At 39.1% G+C, this 22,235-nt stretch overlaps 1 protein-coding gene across 5 annotated transcripts in view; it reads right to left on the bottom strand.

Annotated features, from left to right (window-relative positions):
* Positions 1 to 231: 231 nt before the first annotated feature.
* Positions 232 to 22,235, bottom strand: part of TTC27 (tetratricopeptide repeat domain 27) — a 193,002-nt gene continuing 170,998 nt past the window's right edge. For all 5 annotated transcript variants that reach the window (NM_017735.5, XM_011532958.3, XM_005264416.3 and 2 more), the window contains 4 exons: positions 10,062 to 10,259; positions 8,668 to 8,779; positions 3,726 to 3,826; positions 232 to 467 (listed from right to left, as the gene is read on the bottom strand). In NM_017735.5, coding sequence (NP_060205.3) covers positions 345 to 467; positions 3,726 to 3,826; positions 8,668 to 8,779; positions 10,062 to 10,259 — 534 coding nt within the window. In that variant the 3' untranslated portion in view covers positions 232 to 344. The remainder of the gene's footprint in view (positions 468 to 3,725; positions 3,827 to 8,667; positions 8,780 to 10,061; positions 10,260 to 22,235) is intronic.

The raw sequence follows: 22,235 nt of genomic DNA, 5'->3' as shown, positions 1-22,235 counted from the left end.
CACCTGTTTAGACAAAAGGTTTTCCAAAGTATGATCCAATTAATGTTAGGTTGAAAGAGAATAAACACTATATTAAAAACAAAATTAATTTAATTGCTCTTTGTGCCAAAATACCTCAAGAATAAAAATACTGAACTCAACTATAATTAGACCTAACGAAATAGGGAGTTTTAAAAATTTAATATACTTCAGAAAGCATATAAAATTGAAAACATCACAAAACCAAGAATGTTAAGTCATAAAACAAATTTATTTTAAAAATCAATATCTTGCATTTCAGATATACAGATGTATCTTTTACCAGCAGGTGAAAGCACCTTTTCCAGAATCTGCTTCCAGCAGAATCAATACTGATTTCGAAACTGGTTGCTTAGGTCTTGGAGCTCTGTCACTAAGGTGTCCATAGCTGTTATGTCATCAGCTAATTCCCTGGACATTTCTCCAGTTGCCACATCTGTAAAAAGTTGCTGTAATATAAAAAACAAAGCAGAAGTATTAAAACAACACAAATTTCTTTAAAATAAAATAGATACAGAGTATAGAGTTAAAAAACCTTTTGCATAATAATACTATACAATTATAATAGCAATGGTAGCATTTTTTTCTGTTCACTAGCCAAGAAATGTACAAGCTAAAATAATTAAAGGGTGAATCAAAACAACATGCCTGAACTTATAAATTCAAATGAGCTCTGCTCTTCAACGCATTTGCCTAAATTCTCATTATTCATTTCAATGTTATAGGATGGTTTTTGAATGAACAGACATAATTCAACTAAACAAAATGACTTTATTTATTGTGTATGCAGGCAAAACAAATATATTCTATGTTCAAATTCATATAAATCATACCCTTTATGCTACTTACTTGAAAATTAATTTCGCTTAGGCCTCAGAGACCACAAAGATTATCCTAGCAAAAAAGTCCAGCAAAATAAAAATAACTGTGTCCTCTCCCTGAAAAAGGAATTGCCTTGGGAGGTTTATTGCAACATATTTCAATCATGCTACCACAGCTGAAAACATTTGGAAATGCCTCTCCAGGAACTGCCTGCTGAGCCAACATAGGCCCCCAAGAAAATCAACTTCAGGATTTTATGACCCCATGGTATGTGTATGTGTGCACACATGTGCACGTGTGTACATGCGACTGTGTATATGTTTTATTCAGAAATATCATTTATGTAGCTTGCCAAATATCTGTTTCACTGGATTTGACTACATGATTTGTACAGCATTTCATAACAAAATGAAGTAGGAACTGCTCCAATGTCATCAGCAGAGAAAACACCTTTTAGGAAAATAACCTAGCCTCACATAGTTTTTTTGGTTTTTGTGTGTGCGTTTTTAAACTAAGAATTACAGTGCTTGCAAATCATAATCAATCGGCATCACTTCCCTGTGGGGTAAGGAGGAAGCACGGAGAAACTGAGGCTTAGAAAAAAGTGAATAATTTGCTGAGAGTCCCAAAGACTGTAAGGGGTCAAATCTGTTCTGTGTCCAGGCTCTCCAGCACTCTCATGAACAGCCCCTTCATGCCACTCTTGGCAGCAAACCTGTACAAGGACAGGGTGCAAATGGGCAGGGGAGTCACTCTGTCCTGGGAGAGCATGGACTGGATGATTTGTTAGGTGAGTCTCTAGGTACTAGGAGCTTATTTCCATGAAGTCCCTGGCCTGGCAAGAAAAGACCTGAGATTCATTCAATTAAGCCTATTTAACATAGGCTGCAAGCAATTTAACATAGTTATCCTCATTCATTTTCAATCTTCATTTTCACTTTTTAAAGTATTCTAAAAAAGTGACTTTTTTGGAATGCAATTCAGTTTGACAAACCTAATTCATTAAATAGAAAAGGCATAAGATCTACGAAACCAGAGACTCCCAAATATATGTGAAATATGCTTCAGAGGAGGCACTGGGAGGTAATTTTTCCCATTTTTGGATAATCCAGTTGGCATCTAATGAGAATGAAAATCTAAACACAGATGATGTTCTGGGGCCGCATTTTCATTATGTGGGAATCTACCATAATATGGGAAGGTGTGCAGTACCTGCACAGACAATACTATTCAAGTCATGCAAGTATAGATTACATAAAGTAGTAATTTGTAAGAAAAAGCTTTGCACAGACAAAAGGAAGCCACAGTATACCCTGAAGAAGTAAACTACTGTGGTAGTAGTAGAAGTAAACTACTTTGATTAGATCACTGATCAAAAGTAGGAAACAAAGCTCCCACTTTGGGAAGGAAAGTCACAGGAAAAAACCCTGCTGCTCTGACTTTGAGGGGGCTCTTATAGATTTCCGAGAGACACAATTTTGAAGTTGTGCTGCCAAGCTAGGAGGAAATATAGTTCTCCTGGGTCATGCAGATAAATAGGAAAAGTGAAGTAAGTTAATTATTTAAAGAGGCAAAAATGATGCCTTGATCTGAAAAGATCAAACCATTAATAAGAACAAAAAAATACTCAGAAAGGCGGTTACAGAGTAAAAAGGTATTCAGAAATGGCCTCCCTGTGCCAGAGACTTACTCTCGGAAGTAAGTCAAAATTACTTTGCAACCCAAGATGCAATAGTGAAAGCAAGTAAAGGCTAGAAAAGTAAGTGCTAAATTGTGCTAGAAGTTATATTTGTCCAAATTTTGCTTCCAGAGGTATAATCCAAACCTGGCTGCAGAGTAAAATCACATAGGAAATTCAACAGATTTCCTGGGTCCATCCCAGACCTGAATCTACATCGGTCACAGATAGAGCCCAAGAATCAATCCAGTCTTCAATAAAGCTCCCTGAGTGATTCTTAGGCATCTCTGGCCCAGCACTGGTACACAAGTTAGTTTTTGTGAACTAATGGCGTATTTCAGTTGTCAAACCTCAATAGCCATCTACCTTAACAATTTTGCTCACATCCATATACGACCTACTTAATATTTTTATCTAAGTCAATTTTTTTACTTAAGAGTCTTTCTAAAAGGAAACATTACATTGCAACTTTAAATACAAAATAAGCAATAATATTCATGAAATTATAGGCTTGATGAGCTAGTCTGCTTTTTTTCTAATATGTACTGAAATGAATATATATTTAAACCAGAAGTTTACCAGTAGCATATATGCCACACTTTGGGGGAAAATGACAATAAATACAAGAGCATTGTTTTATTTTAATTTAAGGAAAGCATTAAGGGCTGAATTGTAAACATTAGTTTCAAAGACTTTTTTTTTTTTTGGGACATGGTATCTCACTCTGTCACCCAGGCTGAAGTGCAGTGGTGCAATTTCGGCTCACTGCAACCTCTGCCTCCCGGGTTCAAGAGATTCTCCTGCCTCAGCCTCCTGAGTGGCTGGGATTACAGACACCCGCAACCATGCCCAGCTAATTTCTGTATTTTTTAGTAGAGATGGGGTTTCACCATGTTGGCCAGGCTGGTCTCAAACTCCCAACCTCAAATGATCTGCCTGCCTTGGCCTCCCAAAGTGCTGGGATTACAGGCATGAGCCACTGCACCCAGACAATTTCAAAGACTCTTAAGTCATACACATTTAGAGTGGTCTATCCATTAGGCCAATAGTATCCTCACAACACAACCAACCATGAGGGGGCTGCTATATTAAATAAAACATGCGCCTAAAATTATCACTGATGTAAAAGAAGATTTAACAGCAATAAGCTGATACTAATGACCTTTTTCTATATGACAATTCCAATTAATTCACATGTCACTCTCACCTTTGCTTTAGATAACAAGCCCCGTAAATTGAGTCGAACAGAAGAAAGCATTTGTACAGCTTCTTGGGAACTGGATTTGTTTTTACTGCATTTTATGGCCACTGGAAGATAAGTATGGAGAGAAACATCCATTAAAAAGTGTTAATAATAATTCACAGGTACAAAAGCCAATTATTTAATTAGAATTTTTATAGTAACATACTTTAGAAACACTTCTACCTGGAAAGTTTTTATTGTTGAAAAAGAATAATAATTATGTACATAGCTTTTCCCTTTATCCTTCTTCTTCTTCTTCTTCTTTTTTTTTTTTAAGATACAGGGTCTCACCCTGTCGCTCAGTCTGGAGGTGTGGCATACAGCCTTGAACTACTGGCCTCAAGCTAGTCTCCTGCTGCAGCCTCCCAAAGCACTGAGATTACAGGTGTCAGCCATTGCACCTGGCCTTTCTCTATCCTTCTTTAAGAATGGTAATTTACTGCTCCAGGGAATTTTGGGAAAAACAGGTGATTTTTGGTGAGTTACGGATCACTGGGAAGAGACCCTAAACACATATACACGCATGCATTCGAGCACACACACGCACACATGTGCATAGACAAATAAAATTAGGCAAGGAGACAAAATATTATTGAAAACAAAGTACCCACACAGACAAAAACAGATGCAGCACATCTTTGTGTGGCTTTCCATGCTACCAAGTCCCCAATGGGGACTTCACAACTGCTGATGACACAAGCCCAAGGAAGTGACATGCCAGATCTGTACAGCTCAATTCTTACTGCATTTTCATAATCAGGGTTTGAAGCACCATTCAGGAAGCACTGACAGCAACCCATGTGTCTTCATGTAGAGAACGCGACCACAACCAGGTTCTTAAGTTCCTGAGCAAGGCTTGGCATCAGCAGGGAATGGGCAAGAGTGAATCACAACTCTGCTCCCAGCATTCTGGGGAACTCATTTTCCCAAAACCTGAAACTACGAAGAAGGCATCGTTCTTCCTGGTAGAAGGCCTGGCTATTAATGCTTTATGAGAACGAGTGAAGAGCTTTGTACAAACATAATGCCCAATATTTCCCCACTGGCTTGTTCTTGGTTTTGTTCCCTAAATTATGCTCACTAAATTCAAACAGACCAATAATCAGATACTCCTTTAAAATGACACTAAACAGCGCAAGGATTAAAGTCTACTTTATACTCTAGATTGTAGACCAAGGATAGAAAATCAATTTTTTTTTTTTTTTGAGACAAGGTCTCGCTCTGTCACCGAGGCTGGAGTGCAGTGACACAATCATGGCTCACTGCAGCCTCAACCTGCAGGATTCAAGTGATTCTCCTACCTCAGCCTCTCAAGTAGCTGGGACCACAGGTGCATGTCACCACAACCAGCTAATGTTTTAATTTTTTAATTTTTTGGTAGAGATGGGGTCTCACTATGTTGCTCAGGCTGATATTGAACTCCTGGGCTCAAGTGATCCACCCACCTCAGCCTCCCAATTACAGGCATGAGACACCATACCCAGCCCAATAGATTTCTTTTTGCACGCAAAGACTAATCAATCGGTAGAGGCTGCCTGTGCCTGGCAAAACAGAGTTCTGTCATTAATTAATATCTTCCAAGGCCAGCAAGAACTAGGTTTGACATTCCTATCTTAGAGTAATAATGAGGAATAATAATTAGACTTTGACATTTCTCATTAAAGGGTGAGAGGATGCATAATAATTAGCAATGTTAAGCCCATTTTCAAAAGGCAGAGTTAGCCCAGAGATAGCGGGGATTATTAATCTGTTTCTCTTAGTAGAGGAAAGTTGTAACCACCATGGCAGCGGTATTTGAGCTGTTTAGTACCCAGCAGTTTAGATCAGAAACTGCTGTATTTCTTTTTTAATCCCTTATTTTCATTCTGACAAAAACAAAAGTAAAGCAAAAAGACAGATATACTCTATTAGTTTTCCTACTCAATCCCATTTCCAAAAGGCATTATAGACTGAGATAGAGACAGACAGCTAGAGGGAGAGAAATAACTTGCTGTTTCAAATCATCAGAAAATCTGCCAGCACTTTGGGAGGCTGAGGCGGGCGGATCACAAGGTAAGGAGATTGAGACCATTCTGGCTAACACGGTGAAACCCTGTCTCTATTAAAAATACAAAAAATTAGCCGGGCGTGGTGGTGGGCGCCTGTAGTCCCAGCTGGCTTGGGAGGCTGAGGCAGGAGAATGGCGTGAACCTGGGAGGCGAAGCTTGCAGTGAGCCGAGATCGCGCCACTGCACTCCAGCCTGGGCGACAGAGCAAGACTCCGTCTCAAAAAAAAAAAAAAAAAAAAAAAAAAAAAAATCTGAAGCAGCAGTGCCTCCTCTATGTAAACTGCAGTTAAAATGCATTAACTCTTATTTTAAAAACTCCTGGATGGCAAAGAGCTGAAACACTTTAGCCCACCCTTTCCCAGAAAATCAAATAGCAGAAACTATAAATGTATACCTTCCAGACAATACAAATGAGCACACAATGATGACATTGTTATAGGGAGGCCTCAAATACTATGTCAAGGTCGCAATATCTTATCAAGCTTTCTGAAGTGCATGGCTACCTTAATGATAGCAACCCAAGGAGTAAACCATGTGGAGATTTTTAAAAATGTTATTCAGTCATGCATCACTTAATGATGGGGATACGGTGTAAGAAATGTGTGGTGAGGCAATTTTGTTGTTGTGAGAACATCATAGGGTGTACTTACACAAACCTAGATGGTATAGCCTACTATGCACCTAGCTACATGGTATATAGCCTACTACTCCTAGGCTACAACCCTGTACAGCATGTGACTGTACTGAACACTGCAGGCAATCAGAACACAATGGTAAGTATTTGTCTATCTAAACATTGGGAAGGTACAGTAAAAATATGGTTTTACAATATTATGGGGCCACTGTCATATATGTGGGTCCACTGGTGACCAAAATGTTGCTATGGGATGCTTGATTGTATTTCCTTTTTATAATTGGGTGGGGTGGAGGAACAATGTTTTGAAGAGACTCATACACAGAGAAATCCAGCTTATTCTTTCTGCACTAAGGTACAAAAGTAACAAGGAAATGATTAAGATTTATCTTTGTAAATCTAAAATATCATCAGAAACGAAAGCTGGGCATCCACTCAAATACGCTTAAAATGTTGTAGGAGCATGAACACATAATTCAATGATGTCAGAGGAGAACTTAAAAGAATGGACACTTGTTTTTCTCCAAGTATTGCCCTGATGAAGAAAATAATGCCAATAACAGTTTAAACCCAACTTTAAGATGCAAAATAAAGATTTTTCCTAGAGTATCTCTTTAACCTGCATATCTCTCTTTGACAGGTTTAATACCATTACTTGGTGAGTTCAGAAAATAGCGTGGCTTTGACTGTTACAGACGAGCAGTTCATAGAAATGCTTAGAGTTGGCAAGTTGAAGTAGATAAGATAAATTTTTCAAAGTAAATCCCATCCTGCTAATTATGTACCTAATACATCAGTGTGGGTTTCCCCAAATATCATACAATATCCACAAAGACCAAAAGCATAAGGACTGGATCCCAACTGAGCCCACCCATCATGAGGTCAGTAGAAGCCACATGAATTCTAACCACCCCCAAAACATCCTTCTACGGCTCTATTAGCAATTACCCCCAACTTTTCTACATTGACTTTCAGCTATATAGAGCTCAGCACTTCTACCTTCTCTGCCAAGTGCTTGGTGACCCAGGAAATTAGATATTTATATCCTTTAGGTCAAAGATATCAAAGGTCAAAAGTAGAATTATCAACTACCAAGCTAATTTCTAAATTTTCTGAATGTTCTGTGACTTCTTTATAAGCAAGCCAAACTTTATCCTTGTTCTTAATTTTTGTTTTTTTAGTTTTGAGTCCCTTATCATCTATAGCTCAAGTCCTCTACTTTGGAAGGAAGAGGGTGGTGGTGAGAGGGTAGGGTATTAATATCTAAACCATGTGTGAAATACTGCTAAGTGTTTGAATGTTTTCATTTATTCTTCATGGGTAGGTATTATCCCATTTTACTGATGAGGAAAGTAAGGCTCAGAGAAGTTAAATTATTTACCCAAGGTCAACTAGCAAGCATGTGATAGAGCTGGTCCTGGAGCTTAGGTCTCCCTGATCTTAAAGCTCTGCCCTTTGCATTCTTCCTTGTTTGCTCCCTATTTGTTGTAATTATTAGTGGCAGCAAGGAAGTTAGTTAGGCAGGGAAGTAGAAGGAGAACTTTAGGATTGGTGTAAGGTCTTTGTGATTCAGTTCTTAACATTGGGGGCATCATTATTTTATTGGAACTGCATCACACACCCATATTCAAATATAAATATAAAAATGCATTACCAAATTTAACTGGCATTTTTAAAAATTAATAACTAAAAGCAATGCTTATTTGGACTATATTTACCCAACAGGCATATAATTTTATATGTAAGGTTAAACCTTTCCTCAAACAATATCCTCTACCATTTCCCAAAGATAAGGCTTTTATTTTATATTTCTTTTGTATATGCTACAGCTCTGCATACTGCTATGTACCCCAGAGATCTATGTGTGAGTCAAGTTAAAATTAACAGATTTCCTTAATGCTATGTAATCAATACAGTGAAACTCAGTGTGGAATGAAGGTTATACAAAGTTGTAAAGATGTTTCACATCTCTAAAAAAGTTTCCAATTTCTGTTACTTACTCCAACAGAATATAAGCCTCTATCCTGTTTCTTCTTCTTATTTCAAAATGCCTATTACATAGTAGGTGGTCTATGAATGTTTGCTGAATTAAATACAACAATGTCAATATAATGAAATAATTTGATACTATTTATAATGGAACTTTACTTTTGACCAACACTCTTTTCTGTCAGTAGAAAATAAGTCAAAACATTCCATGGATATCAAATGTTACATCAAATACCATGTGCAAGTCCTAAGGCTCTTTGAACAACTTCCTTAAATGATGTAATATCTTTCTCCCAACAATTGGACTGGGTGTCACACTTGTATGCCTTTGAGAGGCACTGGAATGCCTGAGGAAGGAGAAAGAACAACATTCAGAATAACAAGTAGAATTCACATTTCAAACTCTGTTTCCTGGAAGTCATATGGAACTAATTCCAATGTGAAAAAGCAGCATCTGTGTTGTACAGCACAGCGTCTATTACTCTCACCAAAGAAGGGGTGGAAATGCACACCCAACGGCAACAAGCCGTGGCAAGAAATCAAATGGATGTACCTGGATTGAGACACTTCCCTGTAACCAGAAAGATATAAAGGCCAGGTTTGGAAATCTGTAAATATACAGATTTTCTCAGCATTTGTAGCCATCAGTTTAAAAAACCTGTTTAGAGAATGAGGCATGAACTTGGTTAAAACAATGAAACTGCTGGTAGATATATGTAATCTCACAGATGTTTAATGCACCCTCTTTCAAATCCTTGAGGGAGAAGTCACAGGTCAGAGAATTCTGGGTACTCTTAATTCCATATATGCAAGAAAGTCCATAATTCAAGGAGAAATGGAAGGACATGAAAGTAGGGTGTGCATGTGTGCAGGTGATACACGTTCTCTGGGCTGACAAGGCCACGGTGGAAGCCAGCTGTGTGGATTGAGGGAGGAGAGAATGGCTAAGAATCCCACAGATTAGCTGTGCCGTGGCTAATTCCAAACCCACGCAAGGAGTACATTTGATTTGTTGTGGGTGTTTTGAAAAGAAACATAAAACAATTATTCCAACTTTGGAAACTCTGCAGGCTCCTTTAAGTTCTAAGATAAGAGGCTAAAGGCATAACTTGAGTGGAACTGGTGTTCTATCGCACTTGTGAGAAAGGGCAGGGCAACCTTTGTAAAAGTATTATGTTTTGACTTAAAAGTTCTCTTCCAAGATCTTTATCTTGTTCATTTTTCTCTTTTCTTTTCCTAATCCCCATCTCAGATCTAAATACTCCTTCTCTCCTTGTACCCATCTACTGTAGTCTTTAGCAAGGTGCCTGCAGAAAGGGGTATGGAGTAAATAACAAAAGCCAACTCTGCTGCAGATTTAGTAGGGGTGGCCATTTCAAGAGGCCCTTTTGCAGGAAACAGGGAACAACTATGTAAGAAAACTTCATGGTAAATAAAAAGATGAATGTTACAAGTTTTAACCAGCCCACAATTCAAAGTACGTAGGTTAAAGACTGAATCAGAACTGAACTTAAGCATACTAATCTTATCTTTCAGATTGTTAAACTCTTCCTCCACCCATCAAAAAAGTAGATCTACTACAACATGTTCAAACGAAAGGCAAGGACTCAGGAGGAATGAAGGACTTGCCTTTTCATTTTCATCAGGCTTTTCACTCTGCCCATTTCCATATACGTGGGCATACAGCCTCCAGATTTCTCCATCATTTGTCACTCTTGAAGTCACTCTGCCAAATAACTCCTGCAGCTTTCCTTTGAGGCCAGTTGCAACATCTCCACTTCGATCAGTCATCCCATCAATCACTGCCCTGACTAGAATTTTAAGGACCTTAAAAATGCACAGAACAAACTGGTAAGTTAGAAACCAACAAACAATAACAAAAACAAAGAGCTATCTCACCATCATCAAAGACAATGACAATGAAAAACCTTATGAAACTTGTTAAGAGTATCACCTTTAAGCTTTTGAAAAGCAAAATAAAATTCAATCCTAAAGCACTCTCTAGGATCTCATGGTGACTACCTCTCTGATGTCCCTTCAAAAGCTTCCAGAGAGGGTTCTTCTTTCATTCAAAGGGCCCCATGTTTGGTGCTTGGCTCTTCTCACCTGGAACATTCTCTCTGAATGATTGGATCCACACCTATAGCTTCATATATATTGCTGAGTTGGCTTCACTAGTGTCTATGCAGCTCCAGCCAGATTCCCCTCTGGAGCTCCAGGACTGTGCACCTCAATACCTACCAGACAGGTTACACCAATATCCCTCTCCATCTATCCAAAGTGAAACATAGATCTCAAATTGATCTTCTTCCTGTAATCTCTAGGTGAGCCTATCCACACAGTTCCCAAAGCCAATAACCTGAGCATCAACCTAGATTATCTCCCACTTCTGCCACAACTACTAATTTGATTTTCAACATTCCTAATGTTGATTTGTTTGATTTTCAACCTTCCCAATGTTTTCAACATTCCTAATGTCCTATTTAGGACAACATTGAAAACAACGTTGTTGAAAACAATCCTAAATACAGCTTCTCCTACCTAAGTTCAGGCCTCATTAACTTCCATCTGGGCTGCTATAATAACCTTCTAACTCCGCTTAAAGAGGTCCTAGCCCCTCCTAATTACTAAATGATGAACCGTTAATGCATTTGCATTAGGCATGCGAAGTATCTAGCAAGTATCTCTTCTCTTTCCAACTACCTCAGGTTGGCTCACCATTTTTTTTTTTTTTTTGAGACAGAGTCTTACTCTGTTGCCCAGGCTGGAGTGCAGTGGTATGATCTCAGCACCACAACTTCCGCCTCCCGGGCTCAAGTGATTCTCCTGCCTCAGCCTCCCAAGTAGCTGGGACTACAGGTGAGCGCCACCATGCCTGGCTAATTTTTGTATTTTTAGTAGAGATGGGGTTTCACTATGTTGGCCAGGCTGGTCTTGAACTCCTGACCTCGTGACCCACCCGCCTTGGCCTCCCAAAGTGCTGGGATTACAGGCATGAGCCACTGCGCCCGGCCTAACTTCTTGGCTATCTTATTATCATCAGTCAGCCTTTACACATTCTATCCCAGATGCTTTGAATGCTGACAGATGGATTAAACTGCAGTCTGCACCAGGTTATATTATAAAAAGGCACATCTGTCATATCTACATTAGGCTGTGTATCTGAAGGCACAGAAAACACAACCGCAATCTTCCACTCCTTTGATGGTGGGACAGCAAAAGAACCAGCTTGAGGAAAGTACTGTAACACCATGCTAGTCAGTGCAGTCCATGGACCGACAGCACTGGCATCAGAGCTTGTTAGAAATGCAGAATCCTGGATAAAAATGCTGATCCATCTTGGACCAAGATTCTGCATTTCCAACAAGCTCCCAGGTGATGCTGATGTTGACGGTCTGCAGGGCACACTTCGAGAAGCAAGGCTCCAAGAGACAGCTGCCCACATCTTTAATTTTACCGTGAACTGCAGGGAGAGGATGGCATTTTATCATTCTGTATCACCAGTGTTTAATATAGTGCCTGGCATATTGCAATTGCACTGACTCAATAAATAATTGTGCCTGAAAGACTGAATGAATACAACTCTTTCAGAAAGCGTAGCTGAGAGAAATGCAACCAGTGTGAGATCTTGCTGTCTCCTCCTAGAACATTCTGATCCGTGCATGAGATGTGGCTGAGGAGTAGGGGCTCCTCTGGAACATGGATACTTTTAGGAATGTGAACTCAGATTCATGGTCTTAATTATATACAGTCATAAAAGAAGACAGAAAATTCAGTTGTGCTTTTTTCTTGTTTTGACAAGGTACATCATCTCTGTCTGTAAATTCACATTACAATCCCACATGTGTACCTTTGACTCTTAAAGTAATGAAATTCATATTACAATCCCACTGGTGTTTTAAATCTGAAAGTAACAATGCAGAAGAAACAGTCTGAATGTGTACTGCTTGTTTCAAGTGATCATTCTATAAGCATGTCAGGTATTAACATGTTTTGAAAAAGATGGTCTATTAAAATAGTTACTAACATGTACAAATGAAACACACTAATGAGTGATGCTTTGCTTCTTCTGGAATCCCACAGTTGGCTCAACATCCTATCCCTTCACTTTAGCCTACTGGGGAGACGATGTGGGGAGAGACAGCTTTTGGTGTTCTTGCCAATAAAAATGAAGAGCTGTAGTCCTGGCATTAAGGAGGGAAAAAGTTGGTAAAGTGCATTTGTGCCTCCTCTGTGTATGTGTGTGTGTTTGCAGGGGCATGAAGGGAACTGCAGAAGGGCAAGGAGGTGAAGCTTCTGTCTGTTGTGGGGGGTAGACAGGGGATAGAACTGTAGGTAGGGCAGATACTGAATGCCTCTGCCCAGTTCATATGCAGATACCACCAGAAGAGAGAGGAGGGAGGCAATAACCAATTTGTTTCACGCTCCCCATCTGCATGTTCAATGGCCAGTGAAATAGCTGGGCCTGGAGCTTAGAAAAGAGTTCCACATTGGAGGAATAGATAACGAGAGTCATTGAGGGTCATGGCAGATATTGCCTAAAGAGACTGTGTTGGGCAAGAATAAGGCTGAGGATAGAATCTTAAAGAACACAACATTTAAGAAGAGGGCAAGTAGGTTGGGCGTAGTGGCTCACGCCTGTAATCCCAGCACTCTGGGAGGCAGAGGTAGGCGGATCACATGAGGTCGGGAATTCAAGACCAGCCTGGCCAACATGGTGAAACCCTGTCTCTACTAAAAATACAAAAAAATTAGCAGGGTGTGGTGGTGGGTACCTGTAATCCCAGCTATTTGGGAGGCTGAGGCAGGAGAATCACTTGAACCCAGGAGGGGAGGTTGCAGTGAGCTGAGATTGCGCCACTGCATGCCATCCTGGATAACAAGAGCGAAACTCTGTCTCCAAAAAAAAAAAAAAAAAAAAAGAGGGCAAGTAGAGAACTCACTCATCGAACTGAAAAGGAGTGGCCAGAAAGGTAAGAAAGTGATGTCATGGAAACCAAGGAAGGAGAAAGTTACAAGGAAAGTCGATCTACAAAGGATCAGGAATGGAAGATTCACCTGGATTTGGCAATCATTAAGGGTGAGTGACCATAATCCAGAACCAAAGCCAGAACAAGGAAGGCAGGAGAGATCATGATTTCAGACAAGAGGCTTAAAAAGAAAGAAAAAACATAAAAACCAAGACGATTATTAACATCACAAAAAATGAAGAGAAACCCCCCATAATCATAGTATCCTATAATACTAATTTTCAATATCCTTTGCATAGGCATTTAGTGTATTTGTTTAACCAAAATTGTTAAAATAGATATATTAGGATGATGAGAAAGAGAAGTAGTGGAAGTGCCGGTATGACAGTTCTCATTTATTATAAAAAGATAAGAAGAAGTCAACAAATAATGCCTCATTTTGTTTAATTAAAAAATAACAGCAATATAGTAACTATTAATATGAAATATGGAAATGTGCAAGTAGCAGAAGAGACGCTAAAGGGTTTCTCCTTTTTTGGGAGAAGGATTTTGAAGAGTAAGGAGGGGTAAAGAAGGAAATTGGTATACTTTGTAATGAGCCTTTTACTATTATTTGGCTTGTAAAACTATATATCTGTTATTTTAATATACATTTAAAAACAGAGAAAAAGCAGACATAAATACATCTAAAGATTGGCAAAGAAGAAGAAAAAAATGATGACACACATGAATATTCATTTATTAGACTTGCCTTTAATGTCCCATAGTGGTGATTACCTTGAGGGTATTTGGGGGTAGTGGTGACTAAAAGAAGGAAGGGAGGGTTTGGGGAATATGGGGAGTGCTGGTAATGCTCTGACTCACCTGGTTACACAGGTGTTTTCACGAAGAAAAAATTCTTATGTTTACTTATGATTTGCATACTTTTCTGTATGTACACTACATTTCAATAAAAATTAATTTAAAATTATTCCCTGTACTTAAGAAAACCTCATAAAGTGAAGTAAAAATATGTAGTGTTATTTAAGTACATTAATAAATGAAGCTAATATTCAATCTTAAAAAGTGGTTCTAGAGTGATATCAACTTTTTTTTTTTCTTTGAGACAAAGTCTCGCTGTCGGTCAAGCTGGAGTGCAGTGGCGCGATCTTGGCTCACTGCAACCTCTGCCTCTTGGTTCAAGCGATTCTCCTGCCTCAGCCTCCCGAGTAGCTGGGACTACAGGCGCGTGCCACCATGCCCGGCTAATTTTTTCTGTATTTTTAGTAGAGATGGGGTTTCACCGTGTTAGCCAGGATGGTCTCGATCTCCTGACCTCGTGATCTGCCCGCCTCAGCCTCTGATAGCAATTATTTTTAAAAACCATTACAGTAATTGTATAACTTACTGGCTAATATTATCATTTTTATTCCCACTAAGTCAGAAAATTCAAATTCTGGTTATCCAGACTGACTGCAAAAGCAGTAACTTTTAATGTAACATATATATAACCTTTCTTTAGAAAATAGATATTTGAGATTAAAAGGAGTAAAGAGTGTTACGATAGTATTTCTTTGATTAAATGAATCACCCATGAGTACAATTTCCTCTTGGGTAGTCTACAAATTTACCAGCACTATACCCCTTTGCCTCATCAAAAGTGAAAAAAAATTTAAATAGGTGAATGTTTTTACCCACTGTTACATGTAAATTGTTATAAGTAATTAACCTATCAGCAACAAGTCAAAACTATAAATTACTACATATGTAATAAGTGGCTCAAGAGTAGAAAATTGAAGTTTAAGATTTTAGAGGTGGAATGACTCTTGGGGAAACAGGACCCAAGATATAGCCACAGGGATGGGTTGTCACTGAAATAAAGACTAAGGCCTCTGTTATGTCCAAAGTACTGGAGATATTATCTACCTAAACACCAAGTATCAAGATCAGCTAGATCTAGAATGGAGAGGAGGATACATAGTTGCTGAAGTAGGTCATGAACATGGGGAAGGGACTAGGAGCCTGGTAAATAGCAGTAATGAGCACAGGCTTTCTGTCCACTACATTACAGAACTGTTCCATCAAAGGGGCCAATATACAGGTAAGAGGTTTGAAAAGTGTGAAGCAATATAAACATATAAACTATTACAATTATCATTGATCCTCAACTACCTTACTCTGTTGGAAGTGGACAGTAACACCACATTGCTGGCTCACTCACTGTACTGCCCTGCCTGTTAGCTTACTTCCATGTTTCCTCATGGTTCAAAACAGAACTCAAACAGAATTCACCACCATGGTGTCAGCTCTTGATACCTCCCTACTACTTCTGCTGTGAGCACTCGCTTTGTGCCAAACCCTGTGCTAAGCACGTGACCTACCCGATTTCATTAAATTCTCACAATAACCCTAGGAAGCAGGTACTTTATTACCCCTACTTTACAAATAAAAAACCTGAGGCTTAAAGAGGTAAAACAAACTTTCTCATGGTTACACAGCAAGTGAGTCATGAAGCTGGATTCTGATCACCAGTGACCTGTGACTCCTGAGCTTAGATAAGGATGAGGAGATGAAAACAATGAGGCAGATAACACCTCTTACATATATAGCCCTTCCTATGTGCCACATGCTCTGTGAGCACATGTAACCCACCCAGCAACCCTATGAGGATGATGCTATTTTTATGTGCATTGTGCAGATGAACAAACTGGAGCACAGAGGAGCTGAAGAACCTCTCCCAGGTCATACCGAGGGAAAGCAGGCTTCAGGCTTGAATCTGAATTCAGTCTGAGTCCTGGATCCTGTTATCAAGCATTTGCTACATCAATTTACAAAGCACAGCTCCCCTCTCCTCTTTCTTCCTTTCTATTAAGTTCTTTTACATTGGAAAGGTTTCTCTTTTATGAAATATGTATGCTAGTAACTTTTATCATTTCTTTGCTAAATCTCGAATCAACCAGAACCAGAATGGGTTTTGTTTTTGTAATTTTTTTTTAAAATTAGAATTTCCCCCATGTCAGAGCTAATACAAAATTTAAAAAAGAAAATTCTTATTGGGTTCATCGGCCAATCACAAACACTACTAACATTAGAATAAATTTCTTTCTAATCTTTTTATTATATGTAAGTTTTATATTATAATACTATATAAACTGTTTTATCTCCTTTTTCACTGTAACATTATGCTTATTGGGTCCATCGGCCAATCACAAACATTACTAACAGAGTAAATTTCTTTCTAATCTTTTTATTATGTGTAAGTTTTATAATATAATATTATGTAAACTGTTTTATCTTCCTTTTTCACTGTAACATTAGGCTATAGAATTTTTTTCATGTTTTCCACATACCCTTTAAGTATAGTATTTTGATAGATTCAAGATATTCCACTGGACTGATAGACCATAATCTATTTAGCAATTCCCCTGCGCTTAGATCACTAGGCTGTTTCCATGTGCTGCCACCATTATCAGTAGTAGTATAAATAAAACACTTTAGTGCATATCTTTGTGCCTAAAGACTTTTTTATTACTGAACCTTTCCTTAGGTTAGAATTCCAGGAATGGAATTATGGAGTTAAGAGAATAAATATTTTAAGACTCGAGATAAATGAGGTATTCTCTAAAAGAGCTAAATCAAATTAGGTGCCAATGAATAGTACTGTGTATGAAAATGTCATTTAATTGCATATTACCAGCACTGAGTATATAAAATTTTTTAATCTTTGATATTTTATTCTACAAAAGGTATATACAGCTATTATTCTGAACTATGTTTCTTTCATTATTAGTTAAGTTAAACTTTTCCATTTCCTTAAACATTTCCAAATGTTTATTGACTAAATATATTTCCTTTCTAAGAAATTTGCATTTTTTTCTTTTTTTTTTTTTTAATTGAGATGGAGTCTCGCTCTGTCGCCCAGGCTGGAGTGCAGTGGCACAATCTCGGCTCACTGCAACCTCCAATGCCAGAGTTCAAGCGATTCTCATGCCTCAGCCTCCCGAGTAGCTGGGACTACAGATGCATGCCACCACACCTGGCTAATTCTTTGTATTTTTAGTAGAGATGGGTTTTCGCCATGTTGGCCAGGCTGGTCATTCCTGACCTCAGGTGATCCACCAATCTTAGCCTCCCAAAGTGCTGGGATTACAGGCATGAGCCACCGTGCCCGGCCTACATTTTTTTCTTATTTTGTACTGAGCTCATTTTTCCCCAACGTGAAGTTTTATTGTTAATCTTCATTATAAAGGAACACAAGTTGCCAACTCCTTCTGAATCCTAACCTTGCACAACATCAACCTTGCTTGAAAAAAGAGAAAGTTAATGATCTGAAAAAGTACAGTAAAACATGTGAGAAACCCTGGGGAGACAGAAGTGGGTTGGATCCTAATATGGTGGAGAACACAGCTCAGGTGGAAAAGTGCTAGGTGCTAAGGTTCACAGATGGGCTGAGAAAAGTGTTTATCTGTCCCTTTTTCTTCCACATCCTACTATCCATGACATTTACCATCAGCATGGAGAGACTGAAACAGCAGTGCCAGCCCAGTGCAAGGCAGGGACCATATGTGCACATCAAGGCAGAAGACCAGGCTAGGGTGGAGAGCAGACAGCAAGGGCTTGGGCAGCCTGGCCGGCGCCTAAGAGTGCCCTTCTACTTTGCCCTCCACTCACTGAGGTTAGATAACTACTCAGGAAGATGGGCATTGGAAAAGAGCAATGTCTAGTGAAGGTAAGGGAGGTTTCCTGAGGAACCAGGCCACTTGGTGATGGTGGGAGGTGGCAGTGGCAAAGTGTATCCAATGGGTGAGCTCCCCCTGTGGCCCAGCCTCACCAGGAAGGTCACACGTTAGGTCCTGGGCTTTAGCCCCTCCCATCAAGTACATATTACCAGTTGAACAGACAATACCCCAGGGAAATACGAGCCAACAGGAAAAAAATTAAGACATCCAAAAGTACAACCATGATAAAATAAACAAATTGAATAGACTATGTGAAAAAGAGTTAAAGGGTCATGTGCAGAAAATCTTGTAACTTGTTTTTATAATATGTATTCTCAGGAGGGTGAGAAGAAAACCAAGGGAATAGATGAGCCCCCTTGGGTAGCAATATATATGGGGAAGAAAAATAATTGAGGACTGAACTTGAGGTTGTTCTCACAGAGAAGGGAAGATGAGGATGAGTCTGCAAAGAAGATTAGGATGCAGCAGCTGGTGTGATAAGAAGTGTGGAATTCTGGAAGCCAACGGAGAAGAAAGGAGAAAGCAATGGTGTTTAATATTGCTGGAAACCTGAGGACCAGCAACTGTCCACTGGATGTGGCAAGTCGGAACTTGACAACAGCACTCTAAGTGGACTAGGGGAGATAAAACTGCAATGGTGTAAGTTCCAAAGAGGATGAGGAGAGGAAGCAGAAATAATGTGGAGAGACTCCTGTCTTGACGGATTGACTACAAAAAGAGCACCAGAGAAATGGGGGTGATAATAGGAGAAAAGGAAGTTTTAAAAATTATTTATACACAGTTTAAAACATTGGTAACTTTTAAAAACTAGGTAACTTAAAAACTTTTAAAAACTAGGTAACTTTTAAAAAGTTAAAAAAATTGGTAACTTTAAAAAACTAAATAAATGCATTTAGTGATATTTTCCCCTTTGTACTGTAACAAGTTATAAAGGTAAATTTTAATCCATGATGTTTATAAGCAAAGGCCCACTTGCCTTTTCATCTGGAAACTAAATCTAACAGTCTACTCCAAAGATAATTCTTTAATCTCTGTTTTTTTTTTCCTTGGGGTTCTGGACACCCTTGCGGATCTAATGAGAGTTTTCCATCCGCTTTCTAGAATATGCATATATCCATATACACAAATTCTTTCAGGGTATGTCAGGGAATGTCATAATCTGCTGAAGACTAATAACAGAAACTTCTCACAAATCCTAATTTGTCCCACATGACCTGGGATTCCAGTCTTATCTCCCAATATTGTATATGACTAAGTTTTTGTCTCTTTTGAAAAGTTTTATTAGTTTTCCATCAACTCCCTTCCTAGTCTCATCAGCTCTTTCGTCACTTCCAGATGTTCAAATCTCTGGTGGTGTTCACTAAAGGCAAGACTTTCATAGGAGTGGTTGAGGTCTTTCTGGTCTTCCCTTGGTGTAACTCTGTGCCTGTCACCTCTGCTACCACTAACAGCTCCCAGTGAGGTATTGGATCTACTCCCCTCTTCATGAACACCGCTGTTCTCAATGCTACTGCTACAACTGTTTTCTTCCTGAAACAGAGCACAAAAGCTGTGGTGCGCTGAATAACATTCCCCCAAAATTCACGTGCACCCAGAACCTCAGAATCTGACCTGAAATAGGGTCTTTGCAATGTAACTAGTTAAGATGAGGTGTCATTCTGGACTAGGGTTGGCCTAATTCCAATGACTTCTTCCTCAGAAGAAGGGAACACACAGAAGAGAGGAGATGAAAATGGAGGCAGTGATTGGAGTTAGGGTGCCACAGCCGAGGAACGCCAGGAGCCACAAGAAGCTGGAAAAGGTGCAGAAAGACTCTTCCCTAGCATCTGCAGAGGAACATGGCCAAGTCAACACCTTGATTTCGAACTTGACTTCTGGTCTCTAGAACTCAGTGGGGAGAACAAACTTCTTTTGCTTTAAGGCAGCAAGTTTGTGGTAATTTGTTATTGTAGCCCTAGAAAACTAACATTGCATTTTTAAGCAGAAAGACTAAGACAGTTAAAACACTGAGAAAAACTCTTCCGAGGGCACTCTCCTGGCTTCTGGAAATCATTTTCTGGTTTTAGTTCAGAAAGCAATAAACATATGAATGTCACTGTCACAGCCTACCCTTACTATGGCTAGTGACCTACAGTACCCCACTCACTGGCCAGAAGTCCTTATTTTTGCACGTGAGTAAGTTTTAAATATCAAATCTCTTGATCTTTTCCTTAGAAGTATGGCTTTTTGTCATGGTAAAAAATGTTTTTTTCATCACCAAGCGAATAAAAATATTTGCCATACTTTCTTTTAGTGTTTCTATGGTGTCACATTTTCAATGATGACAATGATGATGAGAGGAGCTACATTTAAACAGTACTTGTGACCAGGCACGGTGGCTCACGTCTGTAATCCCAGCACTTTGGGAGGCCGAGGCAGGTGGATCACTTGAGGTCAGGAGTTTGAGATCATCCTGGCCAACACGGTGAAACCCCATTTCTACTAAAAAAATACAAAAATTAGCTGGGCATAGTGGCGCATGCCTGTAATCCTGGCTACCTGGGAGGCTGAGGCAGGAGAATTGCTTGAACCCAGGTGGCGAAGGTTGCAGAGAGCCGAGATTGTGCCACTGCACTCCAGCCTGGGCGACAGAGCGAGACTCTGTCTCAAAAAAATAATGATAAAAATAAAATAAAAATAAAGGATCAGGTGCAGTGGCTCACGCCTGTAATCCCAGCACTTTGGGAGGCCAAGGCGGGCAGATCATGGGGTCAGGAGTTTGAGACCAGCCTGGCCAACATGGTGAAACCCCATCTCTACTAAAAATAGAAAAAATTAGCCAGGCATGGTGGCATGCCTGGCCAGCTACTCAAGAGGCTGAGGCAGGAGAATCACTTGAACCTGGGAGGCGGAGGTTGCAGTGAGCTGAGATCATGCCATTGCACTCCAGCCTGGGTGACAGGGCGAGACTCCGTCTCAAAAAACACAAAAACAAAAAACAGCACTTGTATGTATCTGCCAGGTACTGTTCCCCGCCCTTTACATATATTAACTCATTTACTCCTCTTAATAGTCTATTAACTTATTTAATCCTCACAAGAATCCTACTAGGCAGGTATCGCTATCATCCCTATTTCATGAAACTGAGGCACAAAGTGGTTAAGTAACCTGCCCAAGGCGACGCAGCCAGTGACTGGCAGAAATGGGCTGCCTAACTCCAGAGTACGTGCTCTTCCCTACAACACATCCTGCTTCTCAAGAAATTCCAATTTAAATATTTTATTTAACTGAATTTATTTTGGTTTCAAGCTTTTGGTCCTAAACATTTGGCTAGCTATTTCAATACATATTAAATATCCTATTTTTATCCCACAGATTTAAAATGCCATCATTATTACGTATTAAATTCTCATTCCTACTTGAATCTGTTTCTGAATTCTCTATTCTGTTCCATTTCATTCCTGCAGCAGATGTTAACTCTTTATATAATAAGGATATTATTAGCTTTTTATCTTTCTTATTTGTTACAAATATCTTGTCACATATTTTTAAATGTGATCATAAAAATTCATTCCAGCTCTCTTTTACTGCTTCAGAGTTCAAGCACTTTTATCAGTATCTACTTCCATTCCCTATTCCTAATTTTTCTATGAGATTAAAAATATTTAGCATAGATTTAGTCTATCTGGAGTTTGTTTGGTGTATCATAAACTAATCTGGTAAACTTTTTAGACCTGGATGCTTAGAGAGATTTTTTTCCTCTACTCTTTCTCATTTTAGTAAAATACACATAACATACAATTTAGAATCTTAACCATTTTTAAATGTACAATTCATCAGTATTAAATACATTCATAATGTTGTACAACCATCACCAGCATCCATCTCCAGAACTATTTTCACCTTGTAAAACTGAAACTCTACCCCATTAAACCATAACTCTTCATTCCTCCTCTCTTCAGCCCCAACGACCATTCTACTTTCTGTGTCTATGATTTTGACTACTCTAAGTACTTCATGTAAGTGGAATCATACAGTATTTGTTTTTTTGTGACTGGTTTACTTCACTTAACATAAACCTCCTCCAGGTTCATCCATTTTGTAGCATGTGTCACAATTTCCTTCCTTTTTAAGAC

The sequence above is a fragment of the Homo sapiens genome, chromosome 2 (assembly GCF_000001405.40).
Source record: "Homo sapiens chromosome 2, GRCh38.p14 Primary Assembly".
Taxonomy (NCBI): domain Eukaryota; kingdom Metazoa; phylum Chordata; class Mammalia; order Primates; family Hominidae; genus Homo; species Homo sapiens.
The sequence above is the reverse complement of the archived record's forward strand: the minus strand, read 5'-3'. Positions and strand labels throughout refer to the sequence as shown.